The sequence below is a fragment of the Homo sapiens genome, chromosome 21, assembly GCF_000001405.40.
Source record: "Homo sapiens chromosome 21, GRCh38.p14 Primary Assembly".
NCBI classification, from domain to species: domain Eukaryota; kingdom Metazoa; phylum Chordata; class Mammalia; order Primates; family Hominidae; genus Homo; species Homo sapiens.
The window spans coordinates 34,157,998-34,167,683 of NC_000021.9; the positions used below are offsets into that span (position 1 = coordinate 34,157,998).

At 45.2% G+C, this 9,686-nt stretch overlaps 1 annotated feature.

The window, feature by feature from the left end:
• Positions 899-1,399: an enhancer, noted in NCBI's record as "H3K4me1 hESC enhancer chr21:35531196-35531696 (GRCh37/hg19 assembly coordinates)". NCBI's record gives its function as "activates a minimal SCP1, AML or CMV promoter by ChIP-STARR-seq in primed H9 embryonic stem cells {active_cell/tissue: H9 hESC(primed)}" and the evidence as "EXISTENCE:reporter gene assay evidence [ECO:0000049][PMID:30033119]".

Below are 9,686 nucleotides of genomic sequence, written 5' to 3' on the forward strand. Positions count from 1 at the left end.
TCGCTCTGCTGCCCAGGCTGGAGTGCAGTGGCGTGATCTCAGCTCACTGCACCTTCCACCTCCTGAGTTCAAGTGATTTTTATGTCTCAGCCTCCTGAGTAGCTGGGATTACAGGCACCTGTCACCATGCCTGGCTAATTTTTGTATTTTTAGTAGAGATAGGGTTTTGCCATGTTGGCCAGGCTGGTCTCAAACTCCTGATCTCAGGTGATCCACCCACCTTGGCCTCCCAAAGTGCTGGGATTACAGGTGTGAGCCACCGCGCCCGGCCTGGAAGGAGGGAATTCTGGCTGCTGTCGTGACTGGGGTTCTGAAACAAGAGCCCTGGTGGATGCCAGGGTCGAACTGGAGAATCAGATTTCAGAGGGGAAGGAATTCAGGGAGAGACAAGTTCTGGTGTGGTTGCGGGAGAAGGTGGCTGAAGTGGGACGGGAAGCTCATTGGAGCAGAGGAGTTAAGGCAGAGAGTGGCTGGGAGTCAAAGGAGCCGCCTGTGGCGGTGCTGAGCTCCTCCCTGATGGTGACAGGCCCTGGGGTGGCAACAATAGCACCTGCTCTGGGCTGTCTGGAGGGAAGTGGAGTGCCTGGGGGAGACCCAGACCCCAGGCATGGCCAGAGGGTGGAGGGGCCCTGGGAGGGAAAAGGGTGGCAGTGAAAGTCTCTTTTAAACGGAATGGGGGGAAGGAGTGCAGGATAGCGGGGGTTCATGTTGCAGATCTATACAGGGAATGAGGGTCTAGGAGAGAGCTGTTTTTTTGTTTTGTTTTGTTTTTTGTTTTCTTGAGACAAGGACTCTGTTGCCCAGGCTGGAGTACAGTGGCAGGTTCACAGCTCACTGCAGCCTCAACCTCCTGGGTTCAAGTGATCCTCCCACCTCAGCCTCCCAAGCAGCTGGGACTACAGGCACCCGCCATCACGCCTGGCTGATTTTAAAATTTTTTTGTAGAAACGGGGTTTCACCACGTTGCCCAAGTTGGTCTTGAACTCCTGGGATCAAGCCATCCCGCCCACCTCGGCCTTCCAAAGTGCTGGGAGTACAGGCGTGAGGCACCGCGCCAGGCCAGGGCCAATATTTTGGACCAAGCCAAACGATTTCTAGGATGAGAGGCATGAATGGAGAAGGCCGTGAGAGACCCATCCATCCACCGTGAAAATTATCTGGTGACATCACCAGAGGGTCTGGGTGCCTGAGTGAGGTCGCAGCCTTCGCCGCCCAAGCCCAAAGGCACAGGGAGGGCAACCTCAGACACCCGCTTGTAGGGCAGGGACATCTCCTGTTAGGCTTTCCTCGGGAAGAAAAAAGGGAGGAAGTGGCCTCCCCTGCCTCACCCGCCCGCCGCTGGTGAAAGCTCGGGGCAGCTGACCCACCTGCCCAAGCCATAGAATGCAACAGCGGTGCCTGCAGCTTCTGTGCCTGCGGGGCTTATCTTGCTGGTGGTCGACGATCTGCAGATGGTTTAACTCCACTCCTGTCTCCCGCCCTGGGGCTGCCAATCTGTCCAAAACTCAGCTGCCTGCTGGTCTGCACTGCGGAGGGCTTGGGGCCCCCACTCGAGGGGCCTGAGCTTCTCAGAGGCGTCTCCTGAATAAAACAAAACGCCGTGTGCTGCGCGCTTTGTGTGGGGGCTGCTTCACTCTGTGTCTCTCGATCACAGCTGCAAATTCCAGTTTTATCTGTTGTGTTTTTGAGCCTGTTTGCTTTTGATTACAGTTTGGTTTTGAAAGAGAAGAGGCACACACTATCCAGCTCCCTTTCTTCTCTCTCAGATGGAGCAATAGAGCTTTTTTATAGTGGAATCGGTTTTTTCCATTATTGCGCATTTAATTTTATTATTCTACCGCCTTGCATTTTGAATTGCATAGGGGAAGAAACACATAAAAGAATACTCCCCCGCCCTGCCCCCCTAGTTGATTGTCGAAAAAAAAAAGATGTAGCATGATGATTTTTTGCCTGTGACCAACAGAATTACATTTTACGTTTGAAAGAACTCTCCGTGTGAACGCTGTCAACACAACAGATACGGATACAAGATTCAAAGTACGGTCAACCCCTCACATCACACGCGAAGTCCATTTCCTCCATTGCTGATGGTTCTCTCCAAGGCCGCAATGTGCCGCAGAGCACGGTCGCTTGGGCTTCCGAAAAGAAGCTGAGTACAGTATTCATTTTGCGCATCTGCCTTTCTATTCAAACCAACTGAAAACATCGTTTAATTCCAGGTGCTCTGGTCTAGCTTTCGTTACAGCCACTGTGGCTCCCAGTTACTTCTTCATCACCCTGGTCTTTGTTTTCTTGCTCTGGAAAGAGGACAAGGAAAACCTCGGTCTTTGGAATGAAGTGTGTCCCTTACTTGCTCAAACAGGCTTGCAAAAGATCTGGTTGCATTTTATATGAAGCCTTGTTACATGTTGTAAAGTTTTCGTTCTTAGGTCTGAATCCACATTTCTTACCATTTTCTTTTTCTTTATTTTTATTTTTATTTTTTTGAGATGGAGTCTCGCTCTGTCGCTCAGGCTGGAGCGCAGTGGCGGGATCTCGGCTCACTGCCACCTCTGCCTCCTGGGTTCAAGCAATTCTCCTGCTTCAGCCTCCCGAGTAGCTGGGACTACAGGCGCCCGCCACCACGCCTGGCTAATTTTTATATTTTTAGTAGAGACGGGGTTTCGCCATGTTGGTCAGGATGGTCTCGAACTCCTGACCTCAGGTGATCCGCCCACCTCGACCCCCCAAAGTGCTGGGATTACAGGCATGAGCCACCACACCCGGCCACCATTTTCTACTGTGTTTTCTTACCACAGAGCTGGGCTGAGTAGGTATTTAAATAAGGGGCTAATGCCTCTATTGTTATTTCTAGTAAGGAAAATGGAATCACAGGAGAGGGCACGTGCCTTGCCCGAAATCCCCACAATTTAGGGGAAGGGCTTTGATGACATCCTGTTGCTTCTGTTTCAATTTGTACAAATAAAAGAGAAGCAACCGTATCTAATCTGTAAGATAGTTTTTTTTATTTTTATTTTTTTATTTTTTAAAAAGGGAGGCAGATGACCAGGCGTGGTGGCTCACACCTGTAATCCCAGCACTTTGGGAGGCCAAGGCAGGTGGATCACGAGGTCAAGAGATCAAGACCATCCTGGCCAACATGGTGAAACCCCATCTCTACTAAACATACAAAAATCAGCTGGGCGTGGTGGCGCGTGCCTGTAATCCCAGCTACTTGGGTGGCTGAGGCAGGCGAATTGCTTGTCCCTGGGAGGCGGAGGTTGCAGTGAGCTGAGACCGTGCCGTTGCACTCCAGCCTGGGCGCCAGAGCGAGACTCCATCTCAAAAAAAGACAGAAGTACATCTAATTGCTGTTAGATTTAGGATAAGAACGAAGACTGATCTGCTTCCTGCTGACAGAGGGTGCCATTTTGGGGAAACGGCAATCAGAGCTCCCTCAGAGGCCTACGTAAGGGTCCCTGGCAGAAGGGGCTATTGTCAGAGGTTCTGGTTGCATGACCGCTTGGAGTTTGATGGCCTGAAGGCAAGAACAGACAAATGGGGTTATTAGAAAACATGTGTCAATACGAAACAAGTGCAGGGGTAAGGACAACTCAGAAATTCCGAGGCATTTTACCAGTTTGCACAGGGAGAGGGAGGCCAAAAGCCTAACTAACTGGTTAAAAAAACTTTACCCTTTTGCCGGCATGTTGGGCTTCTGGGTTTCCTTCCCCTGAACCCAGTCCTAAGCCAACCAGTTTAAGGTTTGGGAAATTAACTCTTTCCAGTTTGGAGGATGCATCTGAGGGGAGGGTCCCATAGTACAGAGACACAATTACCTATCAGTGAAGAGAGGACAGAGGAAAAGAAAGGAAAAAGAGAAGGCATTTTTTCAAAGGAGTCCCAGGGATTCAGGATGCATTCTAAAGGGGCACAGACTGAAGATGAAGGGCTACTCATCTAGAAAGAGAGGAGCAGGTATCCCTGGCTCCCTTCTCTTCCTAACAGATACCTGGGGTACTTGAGGGAGAAGGGGAAGAGCATCCTCTTTCCCTCTTCCATCCTTGCATTCCTCGAGTCCCGGTGACCTTGGCAGGTCCTGCCATGAGTGCTAAAGCGACTTGCACCCATGAAGCAGGGAGGGCCTAGAGAATAGAAACTATCTGCTCTCACCTATGTCTCTTTCCGACCTGCTGTCAGTAGCCTTGGAGTTCCCTGGACCTCATTTATGCCATGGATATTAAGGTGGCCTTTATCCATGAAACAGGAAGCTTGGGCTTGGCTTAATCAGCAGGAATCAACCACCCTCACCTGCGCGGTGCCTTTTAACTTCTGTTTTTGTCTGCATCTGGATCTCTTAGATCCAGTTTTCTTTCATAGGGCTTTGACCCAAAGCTTGGAATTGAGTTTAGGATAAAAATATGTCTCTGGGGGGTTGCATGGACTCCTTATCATAAGCTGAATGCTAAGGTGAAGATGTGGAACTGAGTCCTCCAACAAGAGAGAAGAAAGGATGTCTTGTGACACACCCAGATAACCGGTAGCTATAGTTATGCTTTCTGGGATTTGGCTGCATGCCACTTGGCTTTGGTTAGCTACCTTGGTTTTACTTTCCCCCCAAAAAGCCTCTGGGTGATGGACATCCTATTTATTCCCATCACCTGGCAGGATTTGCAGGATAACTGCTCAGAACTAGAATATTGATCCAGATTTTTACATTTCCCATCCCTCTTGTTCTTTCTGAGCTGCAGCTGGAGATTGCTGGTTGGTTCACAGGAAGAAGCAGGGTTAGTCTAAAATGTAGGCAAAAACTTAAAAACAACTAGCGAGTTTAGAATTTAATGACAAATATAAGCTTGGAAACATGATTTCTCTCTCTCCAGTCCTCATGTTTGTTAAAAAAACAAATGATCATAGGACTGAATGGTTCGCAAAATAAACTTTAGTCTTATTCTTGGCTTGATTATTTGGATAAAGTGCAGCAAGAATAATTATTTCTACATAGGCCTTTTGGATTGGCTTTGATGGAAGTTTGTTCCACAAGAAGTCTCAGATAAGACCTTCTAAAGCTGAGCCCAACCATGGGTTTGTATCCTCAAACACCTGTGAGTTGGATGATTTTCTCCTCTTAAGGTCCCAAGATAAACTTGGAGCTCCTAGACCTGTTAGACCTGTTAGAAAGTGACATTCCACAGGTCAGGAACCCTGTACAGGGACTGCACAGACGAGCGTATGAGGTCAGTTTCCCCCATGGGGCTTTTATCGGCTCTGCGAATCGAGATTGACTCCTTAAAGGGAAGCATACCCTTCCAGTCAAAGCCTTGGTAAAATAATCACTTTCTCCAATTGTGTCCTGTTGCAAAAGAAAAATGGATTCCTATTGCACTGATGCAAACAACTATATTGCCATAAGAATACTCATAGATAGTTTCCAAATTCTAGAGGAACCAGGCAGAGAGAAACAAACATGCTCCACGTTTTCGTTCATAGGAGTATACCTTACTCAATTACTAAAGGCCATAATAGTTCAAAACAAGTTTCCTTGACTATGAAAAACAAAACAAGGATCAACAATATTCCAAGAAAAAGTCAAAAAGTTTACTTCAGCTTCGTGAGCTCAGCTTATTTAGTTAACTCCAGTTTTGTTTGATATTTGTGAACATTTCTGCTTTTTGTGAGTCCTGTACATTTTCCTTTATTCCAGTGTCACAGTCTCCAAAGTTATCAAACCTGATTGTCTCAAATACAATCAGAAATTGTATCTGAAAGCACCTGTCAGAGTCTTATACCCTGTTATAAACCATCTTTTGAAAAGGATTAAAACAAGACAACAATTGTCTATGAACAGCAGAATGTCCAGAGTAGTTACAGTTAGAAACACAATTGACAAAGAAGTTTGGTTATCTCTGTGGTTTACAATAACTTAACATAAAAACCTTAATTATGGTTGATAGCATATACTCAGACATTAGAATTTTAGAAATCCTGTACAATTTTGGAACATATATTAGCATTATTCACCAAGATATAACCTAAAGAAGATTGAGCATCATTTTGGCAATCCCATGTACCTAAACATGTCAAATAATCCTGTTTACTTCTCTTTTCTGGACACTCCAGGGGCCCTCTGAAGTATTCAAAAAGCAAGATGTCAGGAAAGACAATTTTGAAACTGAAGTTTGATTTTGGGAAGGCTAGTAAATGTTTGAGGTTTAAAACATTTGCTATTATGAAATAGAGTTCCAGATTACTATAAGTTATTTATTTTGCCAAAGTGATGACTTAGAAATTTAAAGAAACAAAAAGCTTTTATAAACCTTTATAAACTTTGCCAAAGAGCAGATTAGTATTTTAAGAATTCCTTGTTGTGTTTTTATTTCAATACTCAATTTACAGAAAAACCATATGTTTGAAATGTTTGTTCCCTGGTGCCGTAAAGAAAGAGCACTTGAACATAAATTTAATTTTCTCAGCAAGGCCATTTTTATATTTTTGGCAGAAAAGTTACACTTGCCAGCAGTTTTGCCATGAGAGTATATCGAACAAAGGAGACAGGGTCATTTATAACCTGACGCGTCCACCCTACTGCTGTGTCTGGTTTTCATTGGCAGGAACGGGACCTTACGTTTTGTATTTGTCCTGATTGGCCAGCAACTTAGAACTTTTTAAAAGAGGCAAAGACAGAGGAGAATAAAGGAAGGAAGAAGTAACTTGTGGAATGCTGAGAAAGGTAAAAACACCTTTAAATAAAGAAGAGGAACAGGCTATGACCTAATGCTTGCTTGGACCAGTATAAGCACGCCAAGGCAAATATTTAGGCTAAACTGTGGGACCTAAGAATATGAAGTATATTGACTTTTTTATTACGGCTAGCAGCTATTTAAGAATGTTAGCACAGGTCTTTGAATAAATTTTGATTTTTTTTTTTTCTTTTTTAGACGGAGTCTTGCTCTGTCACCCAGCCTGGAGTGCAGTGGCGCAGTCTTGGCCCACTGCAAGCTCTGCCTCCCAGATTCATGCCATTCTCCTGCCTCAGCCTCCTGAGTAGCTGGGACTACAGGTACCCGCCACCACGCCTGGCTAATTTTTTGTATGTTTTTAGTAGTGACAGGGTTTCACCATGTTAGCCAGGATGGTCTCAATCTCCTGATCTCGTGATCCACCTGCCTTGGCCTCCCAAAGTGCTGGGATTACAGGCGTGAGCCACCGTGCCCGGCCTAAATTTTGTTTTTAAGAGAAGTTACTATTTATTCCTAATTAGATGGAGGGGAAAGTTTTTGAAGAGGAATCTTTGCTTTTTACAGGTATAATACTCTTGAATTTAGCTAATATGTTTGCATAGAGACCCTCTTCTGCAAGATTAACTTCCACAATTCTTCCACTTCTTCTTCGAACCTTCAGCTTCTTCCTAATTTAACTCAAAACAATCTTTAAACCCTAGGTAAAGGTTTACATTTCCATGTCTTCTTATAACTTTTCACCAAAAAACCACATTTTACTGTTCTTACACACCTTGCTTGTAAATCTATTTCTAGTAGTTTCAATTAACTCCTAGCAATTTTTAACTTTAAGGTAAAACTTGGTAACTTGCTTTAATTGTGTGCTAAGTGCAGCCAAGGTTTGACTCCAGCATAATTAAGGGCATAGCTAATTCCATGTCCTCAGTCCCTACCAGTTGTGAAGCTGACAAGTCAAATAGTTCTCAAAACCCCAAAAGCAGTTTGTAACCTCAAAACAGTTAGCAAACCTTGCATCTGACCTGCATTTTACCAATAGTCTTTAGGGCTGTTTTTATTTCTTAATGATTAAAGTCACGTGAACTGAAAGGTACCACAGCTTTTAACTTCCCTTTAAAAAATATTAGATCCAAGTGCTTGTCTTTCTTTAGACTAAATTAGTTAGAACTCTTTTTCCAGGCATCACACACAGTACAGGCAAAAGAGAACCCAGTCGCTGGGTGGGAACCTTTAAGAGACAGGGCTAAGAAAACATGGAGGTATCAAATCTGAGAGGGCTGTTCCCCTCAGGCAGGGTTGCTAAACAAAGCCTTGCCAAGCAATTACCAGCCATGCCCCCAGGGTGTAAAGCAAGATGGAAGCTTGCAACATAAACCATGCAGACAAGCAAAGCACACCAGATTGACCACAGCCCAAGACTAGCCCCACAAATCCTTTTTCACAATTAAAACTTTACAGAAAATACAAACAGTTGTAGTTGCAGGGAGCCTGGACTAGTAAAGTGTCTTCTAAAAGAAAAAAAAACTTTAAAGGTTAACTTTTTGACCAGGTAGATAAGGGGAAAGAAAAAAAAACAGTTTAAAAATGCCTGGGGAAGAACTTCTTATTCTTATGCAAGTGGTTCCTCCACCGGGAAGAGAAGTTTAAGCTTAATTACTGTCCAATAGAGTTAAACACCTTGACCATGGATGGAGAAGGCTACGGCAGCAGCATGTGGCTGGGAACCAGCCAGCCAGCTGTGCAGGACTCTTGGGCCATACTTCCCAGCCCTGGCAGGGCGGGGAGATGCTGCTCTGTGGTGGGTCCTGAAAAAGGAAGGAAAAGGCCATGAAAAGGCCCAGGAGTGATGGGAAAGAGGGGATGGGGGTGTGGAAAAGGCTTAGAAGCAGCAATGAGAGGTTTTGAGTCCCCGTTTCACTCACTGCTTCTCGAGCCCCATGTTGGGCGCCAAAAATGTTGCAGGACTTTTCTTTAGTTCAGCTAAAGGTGGGGTTCTTTGAAAATTCAGGCTCGCAGACAATTTGAATGGTGAGTGAGACAGGATTTTATTGAGTGAAAAGGAAGCAAAGGGGGAAACAGGGACTCTTATTAGGCCAGGGTCCCTGCTAGAGTGTTTCTCCCCCACAGCTCAAATGCCAGGCTCCATGCAGGAAGAGGAGGGGCCAAGCTCAGGCTCTCCCTGCTGCAAACGTCTTGAACTTCCTGAGGCTGCACCTCAGTGGGGAGGCTAGTTGGAGTTTCTCCAGGGACCCCTTCCCACCTGGCTGTCTCATCATCAGGTGACCCCTCTTCTCATCCCAAAGCACTGAGCTTTTGTCTATAAATTACAAATTTTATCAGGAATTCCAGCAACATATTGAAACTAAAAATAAAAACAAACCATTGGGGGTATTTTTAAAACTTCAAATCAAGTAATCTATTTATACCAAAAATGTCATCATCATTATAATACTCATTTGTTTGTTATAGTTATTATTTTATCTACTGCATGATAACCTTAAAAAGTAGTTGTGATCACTCCCATTTTCAGATGAGGAAACTGGGGTTTGAAGAAGCACAATGCTTTTTGAAAATCCCCCCCAGCTCTTGTGTCTCCAAAGCCTGGCCTTCCTCACTATCTTACAGTCTGCCTTCTGACAGTTTCTGAAATCTGCAAGGCTCACCATGTAGCTGGTGCCACAGTGGCATTTTCAGAGGGGTGCTGCTTCCTGCAGAATGCACTTGACGTCGGGTAGCACAGCAGGGTGCGGTAATGGTGACAAGAATCAGCTGCAGTGTGGTTTCGATGTTTTCCAACAAACATTCCTCCAAGTGTGGGAGCAGGGAGCACAGGCCATGCCACCATCTCCAGTGGGTACAGTTCTACTTGGTAATTAGATAAAAGATTTGGGCAGACACGGTTTTGCATCTGCACCCCATAATGAATGTGGGGGCAGTTCTGAATTCAGGGACAGGAGGAAACCATAATAT